Source organism: Homo sapiens, chromosome 17 (assembly GCF_000001405.40).
Source record: "Homo sapiens chromosome 17, GRCh38.p14 Primary Assembly".
NCBI lineage: Eukaryota > Metazoa > Chordata > Mammalia > Primates > Hominidae > Homo > Homo sapiens.
The window spans coordinates 48,390,711-48,414,214 of record NC_000017.11 but is presented as its reverse complement, the minus strand read 5'-3'; the positions used below and the strand labels follow the sequence as shown (position 1 = coordinate 48,414,214).

Here is a 23,504-nt window from a genome sequence, read left to right as displayed (position 1 = left end):
TGCCTCTACTATGGGCCTGTACACCCATAACTTCCTTTGTTGTCACAATTTATTCTGATTGTCTATTTAAGTCTATATTCTTTGCTAGACTGTAAACTCTTAGTTAAGGTAGAGATTAGATCTATTTCGTTTACTTTTTGTGCTTAGCCTGTGATAAGCATTCAACAAATATTTCTTGAAGAATAAATGCATTTAGACAATGTAGCATTGTTTATGGTTGTTTTTGATTTTTGCCTTTTCTCTTTGGTCTGAGGACATTTACACCATGCGGTATTGTTCACTCCCTAGTTAAAGGTAACTGTGGGAAGACTCTGTAGCATCAGGTCCTACATAGAGTGAATGCTGCGATGTTAGAAGCATCTGGGGGATGTTCTTATGCAGTTAGTGGTGCTTTTCACACTGGGTGTTACACTTACAGGAAGCTCAAGGCATTCAGATGTGACTGCACATGATGTTTATATTAGAAGAGCTCTTGTTTGTAAAAGGTTGATCACTTCATAGAAAACCCACCAGATAGAATAATGACCTTGGTTAAATAAAGGAGGTAATATATTGAGAGATCTTTTAAAATCTCTTCCCTGTTCAGTGGTGAGTAGTGTGTTCTGAGGGGCCTCTTTGGGTTATGGGTTGTAATCACTGTGAGTGGCATCATCTTTTACATTGAAGAGCAAATATATATATATATATATATTTTTTTTTTGAGACGGAGTTTTGCTCTTATTGCCTAGGCTGGAGTGCAATGGCACGATCTTGGCTTACTGCAACCTCCACCTCCCAGGTTCAAGCAGTTCTCCTGCCTTAGCCTTTCTGGTAGCTGGGATTACAGGCATGTGCCACCATGCCTGGCTAATTTTGTATTTTTAGTGGAGACAGGGTTTCTCCATGTTGGTCAGGCTGGTCTCAAACTCCTGACCTCAGGAGATCCACCCACCTCAGCCTCCCAAAGTGCTGGGATTACAGGCGTGAGCTACTGCGCCCAGCCCTGAAAAGCAAATGTTTTATATACTGGTCTGAAGTTTCCTTTCCTAGGTCTTCATCAAGTTTTGGTATCAGAGTTATACTGGCTTCATAAAATGAATTGGAAAGCACATATAATACTAGAGATATGATCTCTCATGTAGACCTTGCTTTTTACTTCTTTATGGTTTTTTTTTTTGGTTATATGCTTATTCATCTAGTAAGTGTGTGGGCGTATTTTTAGAGCAGATTTTTTTAAAAAGCTGGATGAGACAGATGGAAGAAGTTATCTTTGTGAACTTTTATTCCCCTGAGTAGTGCAGGTAAAGAAACAAGTACTTAAATTAACATGTGACCTCCTAAAGTGTTTTGAAAGGAAGTCTTTTAAAAATTAATATGGAGCAAACTTGAAAAGTAAAATCATAATAAAAACAGCTTGTCCTTAGTGACATCATTGGGGGATAATTATATCATGTTAATTATTTTTTAACAATTTTAGTATGCACAACTATAATTACATAGGCTATTTTACTTATAATTTAGTAAGGATATTTGTCAGTTATTACTCAAGAAAGCTGGAGGAAAATGAATTTAGTAAGAAGAGTTGATGTTCAAAATTATATATAGGTATAGTATTAATCATCTACAGGAATAAAGTATATACTTTAACACTCCACCTCCTGTAGGATCTTCTTTATTCCCCATTTGATCTCTGACCAGGGGGCTTCCTTTCCTTTTTCACAACGACTTGAGCTGATCGCACTACTACTGAGTGAAATGAAGATGAGGACCAAAAATTAAAGTCTATCCAATTTGTGAGTAATATTACCTCATGCTTGCATAATGATTATTTTACTTATTTTTTTCTGATTCCAAAACACATATATTTAGAACATTTAGAAATATAGAGAATATAAAGAAGATGATGAAAATGGCAGCAATTCACTACCCAGAGATGGCCATTGTTAATGTTCTGTTATTTATCACAGTGCCTGACTGGCACAAAGGAAGGACTCAGTAAAGATCAGGTTAATGAATGAATTGAACCCTATCTTTTTTTTATTTGCAAAACATTAAGATTATACCATATGCCACTTTTTAAATTAATAGGCTTTATATTTTTAGAACAGTTTCAGATTTATAGAAAAATTAAGCAGATAGTACAGAGTTCCCCTATTCCTCCTTTCTCCTCCAGTTTCCCTTATTGTGAGCATTTCAGATTAGTATTGTACTTCTGTTACACTTAATGAACCAGAACAGATACATTCTTAACTAAAATCCACATTTCATTCAGTTTTCTTTAGTTTTTGCCTAATGTTCTTTTACTGTTCCAGGATCCCATCCAGGATACCTCGTTTAGTTTAGGCTCCTTGGGCGCCTCTTGCTGTAACAGTTTCCCAGACCTTTCTTGTTTTTGAGGACCTTGACAGTTTTGAGGAGTACTGGTGAGGTATATTGTAGAATGCCCCTATATTAAAATTTGTCTGGTCTTTTTCTCATAACTAGACTAGGGTTATGGGTTTTGAGGAGGAAGATCACAGAGGAAAAGTGCTATTTTCGTCCCATCATGTCAAGTGTACGTGCTATCAGCATGATTATGACTGTTAATGTTGACTTTGATCACCTGGCTGATATGATGTTTGTCAGGTTTCTCTATTGTAAGGTGACTTCTTATTCATCCTTTCCATACTCTTTGGAAGACAGTTGCTATGTGCACCCCACACTTAAGGAGTGGGAGTTATGCTCCCCCACTTTAGAGTGGAGTAGTACATAAATTATTTGAAATTCTTCTGCACTGGAGATTCATCTCTTGTCTCCCATTTATTTATTTATTTATTTATTTATTTATTTATTTATTTGAGATGGAATCTGGCTCTACCACCCAGGCTGGTGTGCAGTGGCGTGATGTCGGCTCACTGCAACCTCTGCCTCTGGGTTCAAACAATTCTCCTGCCTCAGCCTCTCGAGTATCTGGGATTACAGGTAGGCACCAGCACACCCAGTGAATTTTTGTATTTTTGGTAGAGATGGGGTTTCGCCATGTTGGCCAGACTGGTCTCAAACTCCTGACCTCAAGTGATCTGCCCGTCTCAGCTTCCCAAAGTACTGGGATTACAGGCACAAGCCACCGTGCCCGGCCTCACTTATTTATCTATTCAACCATTTATTGATATAAGTATGGAATCGTGCATACTTATTTTATACTTTGGGTTATAATCCAATATTACTTTATTTTGTTGTGGAAATTGTTCCAGTTTTGGCCACTGGGAGCTCTTTCAGTTGGTTCCTGTGCCCCTTTCTTTTTTTTTTTTTTTTTTTTTTTGAAATGGAGTCTCGCTCTGTCGCTCTGTCACCCAGGCTAAAGTGCAGTGGTGTGATCTTGGCTCACTGCAACCTCCACCTCCTGGGTTCAAGCGATTCTTGTGCCTCAGCCTCCCAAGTAGCTGGGATTACAGGTGCCTGCCACCACACCCCACTAATTTTTGTATTTTTAGTAGAGACCAGGTTTCACCATGTTGGCCAAGCTGGTTTCAAACTCCTCACCTCAAGTGATCCGCCCACCTTGGCCTCCCAAAGTGCTGTGATTACAGATGTGAGCCACTACGCCCGACCTCCTGCGCCCCTTTTGACATGTCCCATCAGTGTCTGTGTGCTTGTGTGTGTGTGTGTTTTCAGCACTTCCTTACTTTCTGACACTACAAGATCCTTTAGGCTCATCTTATATATTTCCTTCCCCAGTCCTAGAATCAGCCATTTTCTAAGGAGCCTAGGTTCCTTTTATTGAAGATTGGTACTAGAAATCAAGATGTTTGTGCTAGGTATGCTCCTTGTTACTGTGATGTCATTTCTTTTAGGTCCTCTTAGCTGACAAAGCAAGGAAATACACGTGTATGTATTAATAATAACCTGATTTATATGTTTCTATATATAACCAACTGTATCTGTGTAAAGTGAAACATGGGCTCTTACTGATGTCTCCAATTCTAATTCATTACCACATGGATCATTCTAGACTCTTCGCCTTGCTATTCTTGCTACCTTTTCCCCTCCTTTCCACTCCAACAGTGAGAAACCTGGCACCCACCATTCATCATCCATTTACTTAATTGTTCAATTACAGTAAACATGTATAGCGGTATAAGAATTGTTAACCCATACACCCATGGCAAACAACTTTATTGACTAGAGTTCAGTGTTTATGTTCAGTTCCTTTTGCCTGTAGTCTTGCAAATTCTGCTCATTTCCAAAGCTACTTAGGTCAGCGCCTTTTCCCTTTCCCCTTCAGTGAATTTATTTCTTAGATTTGTAATACAGTTAGATTACGTTGTTACAGTTTACATTCTTTCTTGAAATCTCCTAACCTCCTAAATGACTTCTTGAAATTTGCAGGCATTAAGGCTCACTCTGTGTTTTAAAGTTCTATAGGTTTCAACAAATGCATGATGTCATGTATCTGCCATTATAGTATGATACGGTATAATTTCACTACCCTAAAAATCCCTTATGCCTTACCTGTTTATCCCTCGCCCACTCCTGAACTCTATCTTTTTCTAGCTTGAGAGTTCATTCCTTTTTTTTTTTTTTTTTTTGAGACAGGATCTTGCTCTATCACCCAGGCTGGAGTGCAGTGGCACAATCTCGGCTCACTGCAACCTATGCCTCCCTGTTCAAGCAATTCTTCCACCTCAGCCTCCCTAGTAGCTGGGACTACAGGTACGTGCCACCATGCCCAGCTAATTCTTTTTTGTATTTTTGGTAGAGACAGGGTTTCACCATGATGCCCAGGCTGGTCTTGAACTCCTGGGCACAAGTGATTTGCCCGCCTCGGCCTCCCAAAGTGCTGGGATTGTAGGCGTGAGCCACCATACCCAGCTGAGAGTTCTTTTTAATGCTGAATAATATTCCAGGGTATGGAGGTGTCACAGTTTGTTTATCTATTCACCTATTGAGGGACATTTTGGTTGCTTCCACTCTTTGGCAATTATGAGAAAATGTGTTATGAACATTCACTTGCAGATTTTTGTGTGGACATAAATTTTTAGCTTAATTGGATAAATACTTAAGAGTATGACTGCTGGATCTTATGGTAAGACTATCTTGGTTGCACCACTTGCTAGGTGTGTAACCTGGGAGCAAGTTTCTTTACCCAGAAAATGGAACAGCAGTATCTACCCCATAGGTAGCTCAGCCTATCCTGATGTGACATGATCTGATGTATATGTTAGGAAAGATTTTATTTTAAAAAGGTTGGTCACTTAGTGGAAAACCCATCAGGTTGATGGGGAGCTTGGTTAAATAGAGAGGTGACCTATCGAGGGAACTTGTTAAGTCTCTTTGCTGTTCAGTAGTGAGTAGTGAAGTACAGCAGTGAAGTTGCTCAGGCACCTGCAGATCACATTCACTGTGAGTAGCACCATTTTCTAAATTGAAGGGCAAATGTATTGTATATTGGTCTACAGTTTCTTTCCTTAGTATCTTAGTCATAAAGTTTTGGCATTGGGGAATACTTCTGTTTTACTACAGTTTTGTCACTAGTAGATATAAATACCATTAGATGACATTTTTGCCATTTATCAGGAAATTTTTTAGATTTTTTAACCTATTAAAGAAATATACAATGAAACAATAGTATTGAAACATCTTTACATTCCCAATATAAGCTTTACATTAATATTTTAATGTATTACTAAGTTTGATTTACTAGTATTTTATATAGGACTTTTGTCTCTCTACTAACCTTAAACTGATTGCTTTCTGTGCTTTTAGAACTAGGGTTATGGTAGCTTTTACCAAATATTTGAACTTTTCCTCTTTTTGTATGCTCTGGGATAGTTTATATAGAATGAGAATTATTTATTACTCAAAGGTTTGAAAGACATGTATAAAACTATCTAAACTTGAACTTAATAAATAAAAAACATTTCGGCAACTTTCTTTCCCCCTGCTTATTAGCTTATTCAGAATTCAGGTTTTTCATTTCTCAATTTAGTTTTAGAAATTTATATTTTTCTCAGCAACTTTTCATTGAGATTTTCAAATTTATTTGCCTGGTGTTTTATTTTGTTTACATGGCACTTTATTTTTCAAAATATCTTTTTAAAGAGATAAAATGATTCTTGTTATCACAAAACTTAAATTATATATAAAAGTACAAAGAAAGAAATTAAAAGCACTTGAACTCTTACCACTTTTGTAAAGTATTTCATGATCTTTCTAAAAATTTTGTTTTTGCTCCTTTTTACTCTGCCTAATTTTTGTATATTTGTGCTTTCTCTCCTTCTTCTTGATTGCATTTACTAATGGTTTATCATTTACTGGATTCCCCCCCCTCTGAAAAATTCCAGCTCTTACACTTACACTTATGTAGCATTTATATATTCCTCCCCTGCCTTTTTTTTTTTTGGAGACAAAGTCTCACTCTGTTGCCCATGCTGGAATGCAGTGGCATGATCTCAGCTCACTGAAGCCTTCATCTCCTGGGCTCAAGCAATCCTCTTGCCTCAGCCTTCAAAGTAGCTGGGACTACAGACATGCGCCACCATGCCTGGCTAATTTTTGTATTTTTCTGTGGAGTTTCATCATGTTGCCCACGCTGGTCTCGAACCCCTGGGCTCAAGCAGTTTGCCTGCCTGGGCCTCCTAAAGTGTTGGGATTACAGGCGTGAGCCACTGCACCTGGCCTTTCCCCGCTATTTTTAAGGCTTATGATTTTTACCCACTAAGTTGTACAATGGAACTCTTTAAAAAAAATAAAACCGTATGTGAAATCCTGGCATATAAAAGCCAAGCACTTGTGATTAAATCAAAGGGGAGTGAGGAGAAGGGAATTTCCCACTCTTTTTCTTTCTTATCAGAGGCTTGTGAATCCAGAGAGCACTGTTAGAAAACCATTGTTCTGATACACTAATTTCTGCTTTTATCTTTATTGTTTCCTTCCTCCTTTTCCCCATAGACTTGTTTTATTGTTCTGTTCTGACTTCTTGAGTTTGGTGTTTATTGCATTTACTTATGTTCTTTCTTATTTAACATCGAAAATATTTAAGTCTATGAATTTGTCACTCCATGATGCTGGTCATATCTTGTAACATTTTATATAGGCTGTTTTCTCCTAAGTGGTAATTATAATTTTTGAGTTTCTCTTTGACTCATAATATATGTAGGAGTATGTGTTTTTAATGTTTAAGTGTAGAGGGGTTTGTTTACTCTTTTTAATATCAAGTTCTGGTTTTATTTCACTGTGGTAATAAAATAAGATCTTTCTAGGCCAAACACGATGGCTCATGCCTGCAGCACTTTAGGAGCTGAGGCAGGAGGATCTCTTGAGCCCAGGAGTTCAAGACTAGCCTGGGCAACATGGTGAAACCCTATCTCTACAAAAAATTTTTAAAAATTGGTTGGGCACAGTGGCTTACACCCGTAATCCCAGCACTTTGGGAGGCCGAGGCGGGCGGATCACTTGAGGTCAGGAGTTTGAGACCAGCCTGACTAACATGGGGAAACCTCGTCTCTACTAAAAATGCAAAAATTAGCTAGGCATGGTCGTGGGCACCTTTAATCCCAGCTACTTGGGAGGCTGAGGCAGGAGAATCACTTGAACCTGGGAGGCGGAGGTTGCAGTGAGCCGAGATCGCACCACTGCACTCCAGCCTGGGTGACATAAGTTAGACTCCATCTCAAAATAAATAAATAAATAAATTAGGGAGACATGAGCCTTTAGTCCCGGCTACTTGGGAGGCTGAGGTGGGTGAATCACTTGAGCCCGGGAGGTTGAGGCTGCAGTGAGCCGTGATTGTGCCACTGCACTCCAGCCTGGGTGACAAGGCAAGACCCTGTCTCAAAAAAAAAAAGAAAAAAAAATTTCTAATTTTAAATTTTTAAGAAATTATTGATTTTCCTGTAATTCAGTGTTTAATCAATATTTATAAATTTTCCTTGGTAGTTTGTAAAGTTTGTATGCTGCTTTTGTTGTTGTTTTTTTGTTTGTTTGTTTTTTTGAGACGGAGTCTTGCTCTGTCGCCAGGCTGGAGTGCAGTGGCATGATCTCGGCTCACTGCAACCTCCGCCTCTCAGGTTCAAGCGATTCTCCTGCCTCAGCCTCCCATGTGGCTGGGACTACAGATGTGTGCCACCACGCCCGACTAATTTTTGTATTTTTAGTAGAGATGGGGTTTCACCATGTTGGCAAGGATGGTCTCGATCTCTTGACTTCGTGATCTACCCGCCTTGGCCTCCCAAAGTGCTGGGATTACAGGTGTGAGCCACTGGGCCCAGCCTGTATTCTGTTTTTAGGTTACAAAGTTTAGTTCACTTCTTACTTCTGTTATCTTTTCTGTTAATTCTATTATTTGAATCCTCTATATCTGCACTGATCATCGTAGTAGCCATTCTCTGTCTGTGGCTATTAAGCATTTGAAATGTAACTAGTCTGAACTGAGATATAAGTGTAAAATGCACACTCGGGGCCAGGCACGGTGGCTCACACCTGTAATCCCAGCACTTTGGGAAACCGAGACGGACGGATAACCTGAGGTTAGTTCAAGTCCAGCCTGGTCAACATGGTGAAACCCCATCTCTACTAAAAATACAAACATTAGCCAGGCATGGTGGCGGGCACCTGTAATCCCAGCTACTCAGGAGGCTGATAGGGGAATCACTTGAACCCAGGAGGCGGAGGTTGCAGTGAGCCGAGATAGCGCCATTGGACTCCAGCCTGGGTGACAAGAGTGAAACTCTGTCTCAAAAAAAAAAAAAAGAAAGAAAGGAAAGAAAAGAAAAGAAAGAAGGAAGGAAGGAAAGAAAGAAAGAAAAGAAAGAAAGAAAGAAAGAAAGAAAGAAAGAAAGAAAGAAAGAAAGAAAGAAAGAAAGGAAAGAGAAAAAAAGAAAATGCACCCTGGGTTTTGAGGATGTATGCCAAAAAAGCAAAATAGCCCAGGAATAATTTTTATATTGGTTACATATTGAAATGATATTTTTGGTTAAATAAAAAATAAATACTATTAAAGTTAATTTCATCCCTCTTTTTAGTACTTTTTAAATGAGGCTACTAGAAAATTTAAAATGAAATGTGTAGCTTCCATTCTGTTTCTGTTGGACACACTCCAAACCATTATTTATTTTTGTCTACTTCATCTATCCAAGACTAGTAGTAACATTAAAATGTTTTTTTTAGTAATTTCTGCTTCTCTCACAGTTTTCATTGTATGTATTTTAGTGCGTTACTTAGCACATAACAGGTCATATCTATTGTGGATTGTACTTTACATCAAATGAAATTACCACCTTTGGCCTTTTAATAATAGTTTCTTTAATTCTATTTCGATATGAATTATTGCCATTCTTGCTTTTAAAAAATCATTTTGCCTAGGATGTTTTGTACACCTCTCTTCTTTTATTTTCAGCTTCATTTATTTCGGATATCTTTTAAATAGTAATTAAACTTGTGTAATTTTTTGATACAGTACAAAAATTTTTGCTTTTAATACAGAAGTCTAACTTTTCACTATTGTCATCTTATTTTATGAGTTCCACTTTTATGCTATTTTGCTTTTCTTTTTTCTATATTTTATTATATTGAATATTTTAAAAACCTTTAATTCTACTTTTATTACATTTACACTTCAAAAAATCATAATTAAACCCATTGTCTTTAATTATCACTGTCAAGGATGAAGTAGTATCCATTGACCCTATGTAAATGTGTAATTTAGTATATATTTTCCTCTCTATTCATTTTCTAACTAGGAATTAGACTATTTTTACATTTTTTACATTGTCTCGCCATACGAATTTTTGTTTTGGTTTTGTTTCTATAGAGTTTCACCCTTCTTGCCCAGGCTGGAGTGCAATGGCATGATCTTAGCTCACTGCAACCTCCACCTCCTGGGTTCCAACAATTCTCCTGCCTCAGCCTCGGGAGTAGCTGGGATTACAGGCATGTGCCACTACGCCCGGCTAATTTTGTATTTTTAGTAGAGATGGGGTTTCTCCATGTTGGTCAGGCTGGTCTTGAACTCCCAACCTCAGGTGATCCGCCCGCCTCGGCCACCCAAAGTGCTGGGATTACAGGTGTCAGCCACCTCACCCAGCCAAGAATTATTTTTGATATTAATATTTTTATAAATTTTAAACCATGTAGACCACAGTGATTTCTATTTTTTTTTTTTTTTTCCGAGACAGAGTCTCACTCTGTCTCCCAGGCTGGAGTGCAGTGGCGCAATCTCAGCTCACTGCACTCTCCGCCTCCCAGGTTCAAGGGATTCTCCTGCCTCAGCCTCCCAAGTAGCAAGGATTACAGGTGTCCGCCATCATGCCTGGCTAATTTTTTTATATTTTTAGTAGAGATGGGTTTTCGCCATATTGGCCAGGCTGGTCTCAAACTCCTGACCTCAAGTGGTCTGCCCGCCTCTGCCTCCCAAAGTGCTGGGATTACAGGCGTTACCCACTGTGCCCGGCTGTGATCTAGATTTAACTTGTTTTGCAGTTTGACATTTATCACCACCTCTTTCTCTTTGTGGATCAGAACATATACTTCAGAAGATTTTCTCCTTCTATATGGCCAAACCAACATCTTGACTATGCTTGGAATTCTTAGAGCACACCATTTTTCCTTTAAAACTTTGTACACGTCTCATCTTCTGATGCTTATTTTGTAGCAAGGCCATTTTGATTTTGTTGTTCTTGTTGCTGTTGTTCTGTAGGTGTCTTATTTTTTCTCTCTGGGTGCTTGAGAGATGTTTTCACTTTCCTTGAAATTTTGAAAGCTCAAAAGGATATGTGTAGGTGTTGTTATTTATACACACACACACACTGATACATATATATATATGTATATATATTTTAACTATGATTTTCAAAGTGTAAATGTAATAAAAAATATTCAATATAGTATTTTGAGACAGAGTCTTGCACTGTCACCCAGCTGGAATGCAGTGGGTTAATCACCGCTCTCTGCAACCTTGAACTCCTGGGCTCAATGGATCCTACTGTCTCAGCCTCCCAAGTAGCTACAGGCGTGCACCACCATGTCCAGTTAATTAAAAACTTTTTTTTTTTTTTTTTGTAGAGACAGGGTCTTGATTTTTGCCCAGGCTTGTCTTGAACTCCTGGGCTCAAGCAGTTCTCCTACCTTGGCTTCCCAAAATGCTGAGATTACAGGTATTTATTTATTTTTTTAAACAGCTTCATTGAGATATAATTCACATACTATACAACTCACACATTTAAAGCATACAACTCAATGGCTTCTAGTATATTCACAGAATTGTGTAACTATCACCACAGTAAATTTTAGAACATTTTCATTACACCGAAAGAAAACCTGAACCTCTTAGCCTTCACTCTCCAATCCCTCTTCCTGACTTTCTTTATCTACTTTCTGTCTCTTTAGATCTGCCTATTCTATACATTTCATGTAAATGGAATCATACGATATGTGGTCCTTTGTGACTGGCTCCTTTCACTTAGCATAATGATTTTAAAGATTCATCCATGTTGTAGCACATATCAGCATTTCATTTCCTTTTATTGCTGAATAATATTCCATTGTATGCTACATTTTATCTATCCATTCATCAGTTAATGGATATTTGGGTTGTTTCCACTTTTTAGCTATTAAGAATAATGCTGCTATGCCAGGCATGGTGGCTCACGCCTGTAATCCCAGCAATTTGGGAAGCCAAGGCAGGCAGTTTGCTTGAGTCTAGGAGTTCAAGACCAGCCTGGGCGAAGTGATGAAACCCCATCTCTACTAAAAATACAAAAATTAACCCAGCATGGTGGCATGCACCTGTAATCCCAGCTACTTGGGGGGCTGAGGCACGAGAATCACTTGAATCCGGGAGGCAGAGGTTGCAGTGAGCTGAGATCGCACCACTGCCCTCCAGCCTGGGCAATAGAGCGAGACTCTGTCTCAAAAAAAAAAAAAATGCTGCTATGAATATTTGTGTAAAGTTTTTGTGTCAGCACCTGTTTTCATTTCTTTTGGGTATTTCCTAGTAATATAATTTCTGGATCCTATGATAATTCTCTGTTTAGCCTTTTGAGGAACTGCTAGATTATTTTTCTAAGTGGCTGCACTGTTTTACATTCCTACCAGCAATGTATAAGGTTTCCAATTTTTCTACATTTTCAACAACATTCATTGTTGTTCTTTTCGCCTGTAACCATTCTAGTGGGTGTGAAGTGGTATTTCATGATTTTGATTTGCATTTCCCTGATGGCTAGTGATATTGAACATCTTTTAATGTGCTTATTGGTCATTTGTGTATCTTCTTTAGAGATATGTCTATTCAGTTCCTTTTCTCATTTTTCAGTTGGGCTATTTGTCTTATTATTACTGAAATATAAGAGTTTTAATATATTCTACATACAAGTCTTTCATCAGCTATATGATTTGCAAAAGCTTTTCTCTCATTCTGTGGGTTATCCTTTTGCTTTCTTGTTGGCCTTCTTTGAAGCACAATAGCTTTTAAATTTGATGATGCCTTGTTTGTCTATTTTTGTATTTGGTTGCTTTTTTTTTCTTGGTGTCATATCTAAGAAACCATTACCTAATCCAAGGACCCAAAGATTTACACCTGTCTTTTTCTAAGAGTTTCATAGTTTTAGCTCTTATATTTAGGTCTTTGATCCATTTTTAGTTAATTTTTTTATATGGTGTGAGGTAGGAATCCAACTTCATTCTTTTGCATGTGTATACTCAGTTGTCTCAGCACCATTTGTTGAAAAAACAACTTTTTCAACATTTAATTGTCTTGACCCTCTTGCAAAAATTGACCATAAGTGTGAGGGTTTATTTCTGGATTCCCAATTCTATTCCTTTGAACTTTATCTCTGTCCTTATGCCAGTACCATATTTTCCTAATTGCTGTAGTTTTGTGGTAAGTTTTGAAGTCAGAAAGTGTGAGTCCTCCAAATTTGTCTTTCTTTTTCTTTCCTTTTTTTTTTCTTTTTTGAGACAGAGTCTTGCTCTGTTGCCTAGGTTGGAGTGCAGTGGCATGATCTCGGCTCACTGCAACCTCGGCCTCCCAGGTTCAAACAATTATTCTGCCTCAGCCTCCCAAGTGGCTGGGATTACAGGCACTAGCCACCACACTCAGCTAATTTTTGTATTTTTAGTAGAGACAGGGTTTCTCCGTGTTGACCAGTCTGGTCTTGAACTCCTGACCTCAGGTGATCCACCCGTCTCAGCCTCCCAAAGTGCTGGGATTACGAGTGTGAGCCAACACGCCCGGCCATTGTCTCTCTTTTTCAAAATTGTTTTGGCTATCTGGATTCCTTACATTTCCAAGTTAATTTTAGGATTAGCTTTTCAATTTCTACAAAAAAAGCCAGCTGGGATTTTGATAGGGGTTACATAAAAGCTTTAGATCAGTTTGGGGAGTATTGCCATTTTAACGATATTAAGTCTTCTGATCATGAACATAGAATATGTTCTATTTATTCGTAAGTGCTTAATTCTTAATTCTTTTACCTGCTTTATTTCTTTTCTTTTTTTTTAATTTTTATTTTTGAGATAAGGTCTTGCTCTGTCACCCAGCCTGGAGTGCAGTGATGTGATCTCAGCTCACTGCAGCCTCAACCTCCCTGGGCTCAAATGAGGCCACCTTAGCCTCCTGAGCAGCTGGGACCACAGATGTGCACCACCATGCCTGGCTAATTTTTGTATTTTTTGTAGAGGCGGGGTTTCATCATGTTGACCAACTCCTGGGCTCAAATGATCTGCCCGCCTTGGCCTCCCGAAGTGCTGAGAATAATCCCAAGCATGGACCACCATGCCCATCCTACATGCTATCTTAAATGGAATTTTATTAATGTCCTTTTTGTTTGTTCATTGCCACTATATAGAAATACAGTTGATTGGCTGGGCGTGGTGGCTCACACCTGTAATCCCAGCACTTTGGGAGGCCCAGGCGGGTGGATCACCTGAGGTCAGGAGTTTGAGACCAGCCTAGCTAACGAGGAGAAACCCTGTCTCTACTAAAAATACAAAAATTAGCCAGGTGTGGTGGTGCGTGCCTGTAGTCCCAGCTACTCAGGAGGCTGAGGCAAGAGAATTGCTTGAACCCAGGAGCCAGAGGTTGCAGTGAGCTGAGATCGCGCCACTACACTCCAGCCTGGGAGGCAGAGTGAGACTCCGTCTCAAAAAAAAAAAAAAAGAAAAGAAAAAAGAAATACAGTTGATTTTTTTACATTGATCTTATATCCTGCAAAGTTGCTGAACTCTTTTATTAGTTTTAATAGTTTTTTAATAGATTCCTTAGGGTGTTCCATATACAGGATGTCATCTGCAAATAGAAATAGTTTTACTTCTTCCTTTCCAGTTTGAATGCTTTTTATTTCATTTTCTTGCTTAGTTGTCCTGGCTGGCATCACCTGTACAATGTTCAGTATAAGTGGTGAGAACAGACATCCTTATCTTATTCCTGATCTAAGGAACGTGGGGAAAGTGTTCAGTCTTTGACCATTTATTTTCTTTTTAATTTTTTTTTTTTTTTGAGACAAGAGTCTTGCTCTGCCACCCAGGCTGGAGTGGCACAGTCATGGCTCACTGCAGCCTCAACCTTCCAGGCTCAAGTGATCCTCCCACTTGAACCTCTTGAGTAGCTAGGACTACAGGCATGCACCACAATGCCCAGCCAATTTTTTAAAAATTATCTTTTGTAGAGATGGAATCTCTCTATATCATCTAGGCTAGTCTCAAAACTTCTGCCCTTAAGTGATCCTCTTGCCTCGGCCTCCCAAAAGGTTGGGATTACAGGCACGAGCCACCATGACTGGCCAGTCTTTAATCATTAAGTACAATGTTAGCTGTGGGTTTGTGTTGATGCTTTTTATTAGTTTGAGGAAGCTTCCTTCTATTCCTAGTTTGTTGAGAATTTTTATCACGAAAGGCTGTTGACTTTTGTTAAATGCTTCTTCTGTGTCTAGTGAGATGATCATGTGGTTTTTTTCCTTTATTCTATTGTTATGATATATTACATAAATTGAATCTTAGATGTCATTTATTTTTGCCTTTTAATTCAGCTTCCCATTTCCTCATTCGTTAGCATTCAAAGGACCCTAGTGGAACCCATTAAATCACATATGCAATAGATACAATGCAGAGCTTGGATGTTGATGGTGGTCCTTTGTGAAATATTCAATTTCCAGGACTTTGTATCTCATCAAAAGTCCTAGCGATGGCTATTTAGGATTTTTTGTTTGGTGGTTTTTTTTGTTTGTTTGTTTGTTTCTTTTTGAGACGGAGTCTTGCTCTGTCTCCAGGCTGTAGTGCAGTGATGCAATCTCAGCTCACTGCAACCTCCAACTCCCTGGTTCAAGTGATTCTCCTGCCTCAGCCTCCCAAGTAGCTGGGTCTACAGGGGTGTGCCAGCATGCCCAGCTAATTTTTGTATTTTTAGAGAGACGGGGGGTTTCACCATGTTGGCCAGGATGGTCTCAATCTCCTGACCTCATGATCCGCCCGCCTTGGCCTCCCAAAGTGCTGGGATTACAGGCGTGAGCCACCCGCCTTGGCCTCCCAAAGTGCTGAGATTACAGGCGTGAGCCACCACGCCCGGCCTGGCGTTGTTAAATGACGTGAATATAAAACAAATTTTTAGGTGTGCTTATCCAACTATATAAATTCATAGCAATATTTTGATAGTATGTATCAGGGGTCCCCAACCTTTTTGGCACTGGGGACTGGTTTCATGGAAGACAATTTTTCCATGGACCGGGGGTGGGGGGATGGTTTGGCGATGATTAAAGAGCATTAGATTTATTATGCACTTTATTTCTATTATGATTACATTGTAATATATAATGAAAAAATTATACAACTCACCATAATGTAGAATCAGTGGGAGGCTTGAGCTTGTTTTTCTGCAACTAGATGGTCCCATCTGGGAGTGACAGGAGTCAGTGACAGATCGTCAGGCATTAATTCTCATAAGGAGCACACAACCTAGATCCCTCACATACACAGTTCACAATAGGGTTTGTGCTCCTATAAGGATCTAATGCTGCCACTGATCTGACAGGAGCTGGAGCTCAGGTGGTAATGCAAGTGATGGGGACCAGCTGTAAATACAGATGAAGCTTCACTTGCTCATCTGCTGCTCACCTCCTGCCATGTGGCCCTTTCTTTAAAATTTCATAATTATCAGATCACTGAGGAAATAAAGGTTCCTGTGTGTGGCCCAGGGGTTGGGGACTCCTGATATATATGATACAGTTTCATATTACACGCACAATTTTTGGAGGTGGAAAATTTTAACTATATTATTTATACGCTTTTGGGGGATGACAAACCTTTTGTGCAGAATAAAATGTGTAGCCAGTGTTTCTGGCAGTTGTAATCATTATCAATGTATTTTGTCTTTGAAAATTTGTAGAACCACCCCCCCTCTGCAATTTCTTCCTTCAACATAACATGATTTGTTTCATATTATGTATTTCTATCATGTCCCTATTTTATAATATATGTTCACATTAATTGCAGTTCCCTTCTCTTGGAGACATTTGTCTTTCTCATGTGGGTTCCTTCACTTGGTTGTATTGTCATTTTCATTGATGATGCATCTGCTAATTAATATTTCTTTGAATGCCTGCCCTTTTGTTCTTGATTTTTGCAGTTCAGCTCTATTTTTTATTTCGGCTCTATTTATTGGTATTTCTTTCTAGCTTCTATTGGCCTGTGACCTTCTGTGACTTATTTATAATATTACATGTTTATGAAATTGACAGTCCAGGCCGGGCGCGGTGGCTCACGCCTGTAATCCCAGCAGTTGGGGAGGCCGAGGCAGGCTGATTGTCTGAGCTCAGGAGTTCGAAACCAGCCTGGGCAACATGATGAAAACCCATCTCTACTAAAATACGAAAAATTAGCCGGGCTTGGCGGCATGCGCCTGTAGTCCCAGCTACTCAGGAGGCTGAAGCAGGAGAATCACTTGAACTTGGGAGGTGAAGGTTGCAGTGAGCCAAGATGACGCCACTGCACTCCAACCTGGGCAACAGAGTGAGACTCCATCCCCCCCCTAAAAGAAAGAAAGAAATTTACAGTCCATTCTCTGCCATCAGTAATAATTAATATGTAAATGTTTACTTAAAATGATTTAGAAAATAGTTATTTCTTATGGCTAATATATGTCATAGTTTTCTAAATTCATAGCAAGGTCTTGGATTATTAGAACATGTTACCTACAGGTATATATAAAATTTTAGTTATTATTTATTCTGGTAACATATACAAAATATAAATTTTACCATCTTAACTATTATAAAGTATACAGTTCTGTGGCATTAAGCACATTCACATTGTGCCACAACTATAAAGTTTTTTTTTTTTTATTATACTTTAAGTTTTAGGGTACATGTGCACATTGTGCAGGTTAGTTACATATGTATACATGTGCCATTTCTTAATCCTTCTGATTTTCCTTTCTCCCTTAGTACATCTTTTCTGTTTTATCAACTTTCCTTTTCTTTTAGATGCTGAAGAGTTTCTGGCAGAAGGTTTGCGGAATGAGAACCTCAGCGCTGTTGCAAGGGATCACAGAGACCATATTCTACGGGGCTTTCAGCAAATCAAAGCCAGGTTTGTATAAACTGGTTCCATTAATCTTCTTCATAAGCTTTAAAACAATTTATAATCAGTAAAATAAAGTCACAAGGTAAGACATACCTATCATAGTTCTTTATACTTGGCAGAAACTTAATAAATATTTACTGAATTGAACTGGAGGCAGGCAAGCATAGTTAGTGTAGTTTACCAAAATAAAAATGTTTTGATAATTATGTATGTATCTTGAGGTAATTATTCTGCTTTTAGCTTTGGATTTTTATGTTAGCCTTTATTGACCACTTTTGCATTTAACTAAAAAAATGGTGAAAGCTAAACATTTATGCTTGTCCAAATTATTAACGAGAAAGTGTTAGGCAGTATGAGATAATGTTCATTATGATTTTTGGTACTGATTTTACTTCCACATCTCCTTACCTCATAGAAAACTTAAATGAGACTTATCAAGTTGATTCTTTGACTACATTGGGATGTTTTATTCCTGGACTGGGTTGAAATATTATGTCATTTTTTAAAAATAAGAGGCCCTGATGTAATTTGTGCATTTTAGAATGTGAGCATCTGAGAGATGCAAACACTTGCTTGGGGAAAAAATAAAAATTTTCCTTTATAATATATTTTCTGACCACCTATTGCTTGAAATGGGTAACTGAATGAGAACAAGGGATAAGTGAGTGTTCCTTTAGCCTTTTCAAACCTGGTGGCAATGTGATTCAGAATGTTTAAACTGAATATTCTTAGAAAAGGAAGAGCATCTGCAGGGTTATGGTTGGGATTTAATTTGCGTGGCTGACAGTTCTTAGTATCTGCTCTAAAAACCTCATTGAAACTCCATAGAAGCAGAGAATTTTATCCTTCGGAAGGGCACAGCCAGAATCTATTCCATTCAGGAATGTGAGAGAACCTCATGAGATGCCCTGCTGGATCTTAATCGATCTTTCCTGCTGGCTAATTAAGCATCACTTTTACTCAGCAACTGGGGACTGTGTAATTATCAGCCTGGGTTGCCCTGAATAATTGAAACAAACAGAATGCAAAAGATGGGAGTTTTTTGAAAAAGTGGGAATATCTATAATTTTTGGTAGGTTGAAAGAGTGTTTAAAACAAAGTTCTCCATAATGTTATTTTATTAATAGATAAGTTTAGGCTTAGTTACATACCTGGAGACTTAGTAACCTATAGTTTTTTTTAATTTCACAAGTTTGCCTTTGTATTTTATGATTACTCTAAGGGTGGCTTGCGGAATAAAGGTGGAATTATTTTAAATTGGGAGAGGAATGCCCTAAATATAATGGTGTATTTGGTGATTCTGTTGGTATAAATCTCTGATAAGGAATGCAAAAATACTTTTACTGCAGCTGTGGGTACAAATACACAATGAGGAGGAATTCTTTCCTGTATTTGTACCACAGCATTGAGAAAGGACTAAATTTCAATCTTAAGTTGGTAATAAAAGGCAAATTACGGTAACTCATTACTGTCAGCTGCATATTATTATACTTCTTAATCCTCTTTTAAAATACATACACACATGCACACACATGCATGAACACACACGCAAGCTGAATTTGTCATGGGATAGAGTCAGTTTCTTGTTCTCAAATTCTTGTTCTCAAAGAACTTTGTGTGTGGTTTGTGGGGTAGACATTCAGGAAATCATCAGCGGGAACTTTAGGAAATATCTGCATTGTTGATGGGAGCTTTCTGTTCATTGACTTGTTGCAAGAAAGATGACACTTTATTTAGAATTTCATAATTATCAGATCACTGAGGAAATGAGGAGCCAGAAATTAGATACTGTACAAGAAAATAGAAAAACGAGGCTTTCCTTTGGCAAGCTGTTTGAAATTGCCTTACATCCACCCATTCAATCATCATTCTGTTAATGTAACCCTTGTTTTCCTGAATCCTCTTCTTCAGCCATATCACCTCTATTGTGCCATTTATAGCTGCCACATTTACTTATGTTGTGTGGCAGTTATATGTCCCCCAAAAAGCTTGGCATAAAAAGAAATTTAGAAGTCATCAAACTTGAGAGTTAAACATGTATGGCAGGCTAAACGCAGTGGCTTACTCCTATAATCCCAGCACTTTGGGAGGCTGAGGCCAGAAGATCGCTTGAGGCCAGGAGTTTGAGACCAGCCTGGGCAACATAACAAAACTCTCTCTCTACAAAAAATAAAAAGTTAGCCAGGTGTGGTGGTATATGCCTGTGGTCCCAGCCATTTGGGAGGCTGAGGTAGGAGGATCACTTGAGCCTAGCAGGTTGAGGCTGCAGTGGGCCATGATCATTACATTGCACTTCAGCCTGGGCGACCAAGTGAGACTCTGTCTCAAAAAAAAAAGAGTAAAAAATAAACATACGGCAAATACATGAACCATACAGTAACACAAAAATAATTAAAATTAATGAAGATCATTTAAAAGGGTTTCTTTTTAGTCATTTTTTTGTTTGTTTGTTTTTCGCTTTTTTAGACAGAGTCTCACTCTGTGGCCCAGGCTGGAGTGCAGTGGCACAATCACAGCTTGCTGCAGCCTCGACCTCCTGGGCTCAAGCGATCCCCCGACCTCAGCCTCCTGAGTAGCTGCACATCACCATGCCTGGCTAATTTTTTACTTTTTGTAGAGACAGGGTGTCACTGTGTTGCCCAGGCTGGTCTGGAACTCTTGCACTCAAGCAGTTCTCCTGTCTTGGCTTCCCAAAATGCTGAGATTACAGGCCTGAGTCTCTGTGCCTGGCCTATTTTTAGTCAGATTAAAACAATAATATTTTAGGAGTTTGATAAATTTGGGGGGGGTGGTAACCTATCTAAAACTATAATTTAGCACTTCAAGTCTTATTTGGAAGGTAGATAAATCTCTAGCAAGATAATCTGGAAAAGCCACTACTAGATAAATGTAAATTATATATTTACACACACATATATATATATTTTACAACTTCCTAGTCTCTTTGTTGTTTCCTTGCTTCCTTTAATTCTTTCCTCAACGTGTATTGCTCTAGAAACAAAAGGGTGGAGAGAAATAAAAGTAGCACTGTCTGTGATTCTTGGTAAACTTTAGGGGCTTAGCTCTTATTTTTATGGCTGGCTTGGCATTCACTGGTATTTGCCATGGTTGTGGACTTGCTGTAAATGGAAGCATCTGACTCTATCACAGCTATTATAATGTGCTTTTTGCTATTTTTTGTTGTCTAGAGTGAATGACCACAGGAAAAGACAATTGTGTCAAGAATCCTGGGTGTTCTCCAAGTGCTCATGTTTTTCAGTACAAATCACTTTAGCTATTCTGTTTTTAGACTTAGAAACAAAAAATAGCTATCTTTTTTTAGACTTAGAAACAAAAAATAAAATCCTATCTATATTTACATACTCTTTTCTTTTTGTTTGAAAGTGTTACCAATGAAGGCTAATATTTTCCATGTAACACAAAATAAAAACGGATAGCAATTTCTGTGATTCCAAGGAAATGAAGCCCTATTGTGGTATTTGTTGTCCTAAGCTGTGATTTTCATTGCTTTTCTTAAAAACTAAACAGCTTTCACATTCCAAGTCTAAGTTTTCATTGAGCCCTTTGGAGAGTGGCTAGTATGAAAGCCAGGCAAAGGCACTTCCTGCTTTATTACGATGGTCACTGCAGGATTAGCACCAGATGTGAGACACCTGGAATGAAGCAGTTGTGATCTGTGCTCAGACACTTGATGGCATTCTAACGCATTGGGAGAAACAGTAGAGCATTTTTTAAATGTTTGATTCAGTGGAGGCCATCTGACTGCAAGAATACGTTGAGAGTGGGGGAGGGGTAAAGAAAAAAAAAATATATATATATATATTTTTTTTGAGACCGAGTCTCTGTTGCCCAGGCTAGAGTGCAGTGGTGCGATCTTGGTTCATTGCAACCTCCACCTCCCAGGTTCTGGCGATTCTTGTGCCTCAGCCTCCCAAGTAGCTGGGATTACAGGCATGAGCCACCACACCTGGCTAAAGGTTTTTGTATTTTTGGTAGAGATGGGGTTTTACCATGTTGGCCAGGCTGGTCTCTCCTGACCTCAGGTGATCCACTCACCTTGGCCTCCCAAAGTGCTAGGATTACAGGAGTGAGCTACCACGCCCAGCCAAAAATAGAATATTTTTATTATTGAGATATGGCTTAATTTCTCTCTCAATGGCCCTTCTTGGATAAGTAGTCATTTATGCTCCCTGTTGGAAGTGAAGGACAGAGCCAATGGAAGCAAACTTGGAGTATTGTTTCCTTCTGTGAAACTTAGTAATGCTGAAGGAGTTCCAAAAAGAGACCAGTAGATTTATATCATATTGAGATGGAAAGAAATAAAGAAATACATTTTGTGTAACAGGGTTATGGCACAAAACTCAGGACATTTAAACTACAGGCTGAAAGAATATCTTGAACGTGTCTCATTTGTGGGTGGCTAACCTATAGCTCTGTGTGAAACATGATATACTAGTAAAATCTCATAAAAATAATTCTGACTTTCTTTGGGAATTTCATGTTTTCTTTTCAGCTTAACGTGGATTTAGCTTTAAAACAAGATTTAGCTTAAGAATGTATAATTCTGATATTTTTGTATTATAGGAAGAAAGACAAGGAGTTAGCCTGATAAAACTCTTGGGAGCAAGAGTTTTGAAGTAGTATACTGTAAATATAATTACCATTAATTATATAGAGAGTTTTACTTTTCTTAAATGTTAATTATTGAGCTTAAAAATCCCCAAAACAAAACACATTCAAATGAAGTATGCTTATCAAAAGAACTAATGTATAATGTGCTATTAATACATTTATGTTATTCACAAGTTTCAAGATTTACTCATAACATCTTTTTCTGTTTTTTAATTTTGCTACTTGTACTGGAGCTTCAGTGCCAATGCAGAAAAAAAAAAAAAAAAAAAGGAAGAGGTAGTTGAATGATCCGTCTAAGTTTAAATAGCTCTGAAAAGGCTCAAAAGTCATAGCAATAATTTGACCACATCTGGAAGGTTAATAACTCATTTCTTCCTTTTTCAGTCTTATCCCTCCCTCCCATCCTTAAAGGAAGAAAAAACAAACCCACAACAACTTCAACATTATTACTCAACTCATCAGTTATATCAGTCAAATTTTTGCTTAGTTCTCTGTTATTCAGTGGATGAATGTTGAGATTTCACAACTGAGTTAAAGAGTTTTGTGAATCTACTTCTCTAGGAATGAGAGGTTGTATTTATTGCTGTTTTAATCTGGAATGCCCTACAGGTGAGAAAGATAGAATATTACTTACTGTTGATCTCTTGGCTTAACTTTTAAGACCTGGTAAGGAAGATCATCTTATGTGTTTTTTATGGCAAGTCTCTGTCCTTTCAAAATAGCTTTGAAATGTATAACTCTCCTTATAATTTTATCATAATGATTATTTTGTTTATTCTTTCATATGTGAGGCTATCTGGAAGTAGAACAATTTTTCTTAAATAACATTTTTTAATGTAATAATGACCATAGTCCTTGGTGGTTCAGAATAAACCATACCTTTTATATTTTCATTTTATATCTTTAAGATTTTAGATTGAAGTTCAGAAAAATGTTTTTGATGTTGTTGTTGTTGTTGTTAGTTAGTTAGTTTTTTGTTTTTTTGAGACAGAGTCTCATTCTGTCACCCAGACTGGAGTGCAGTGGCATGATCTTGGCTCACTGCAACCTCCGCAAATTCAAGCAATTCTTGTGCCTCAGCCACCCGAGTAGCTGGGACTACAGGCGTGCACCACCATACCTGGCTAATTTTTGTATTTTTAGTGAAGACGGGGTTTCACCATGTTGGCCAGGCTGATCTTGAACTCCTGGCCTCAAGCAGTCCACCCACCTTGGCCTCCCAAAGTGCTGGGATTACAGGCGTGAGCCACCGCACCTAGGACAATGTATTTTTAAGAGAGTTTTTAGATCACTTGCAAAACTAGATCATGTATAATTCTTCCCAGTACTGAGCTCCTCAATCA

At 38.3% G+C, this 23,504-nt stretch overlaps 1 protein-coding gene across 9 annotated transcripts in view, besides 2 other annotated features; it reads left to right on the top strand.

Moving 5' to 3' along the window:
• Window positions 1–23,504, top strand: part of SKAP1 (src kinase associated phosphoprotein 1) — a 311,620-nt gene that overhangs the window by 30,847 nt on the left and 257,269 nt on the right. For all 9 annotated transcript variants that reach the window (XM_005257755.5, NM_001075099.2, NM_003726.4 and 6 more), the window contains exon 2: window positions 17,430–17,535. In XM_005257755.5, coding sequence (XP_005257812.1) covers window positions 17,430–17,535 — 106 coding nt within the window. The remainder of the gene's footprint in view (window positions 1–17,429; window positions 17,536–23,504) is intronic.
• Window positions 264–433: an enhancer, noted in NCBI's record as "active region_12330". NCBI's record gives its function as "activates an Ori minimal core promoter by ATAC-STARR-seq in GM12878 lymphoblastoid cells {active_cell/tissue: GM12878}" and the evidence as "EXISTENCE:reporter gene assay evidence [ECO:0000049][PMID:35858748]".
• Window positions 484–563: an enhancer, noted in NCBI's record as "active region_12329". NCBI's record gives its function as "activates an Ori minimal core promoter by ATAC-STARR-seq in GM12878 lymphoblastoid cells {active_cell/tissue: GM12878}" and the evidence as "EXISTENCE:reporter gene assay evidence [ECO:0000049][PMID:35858748]".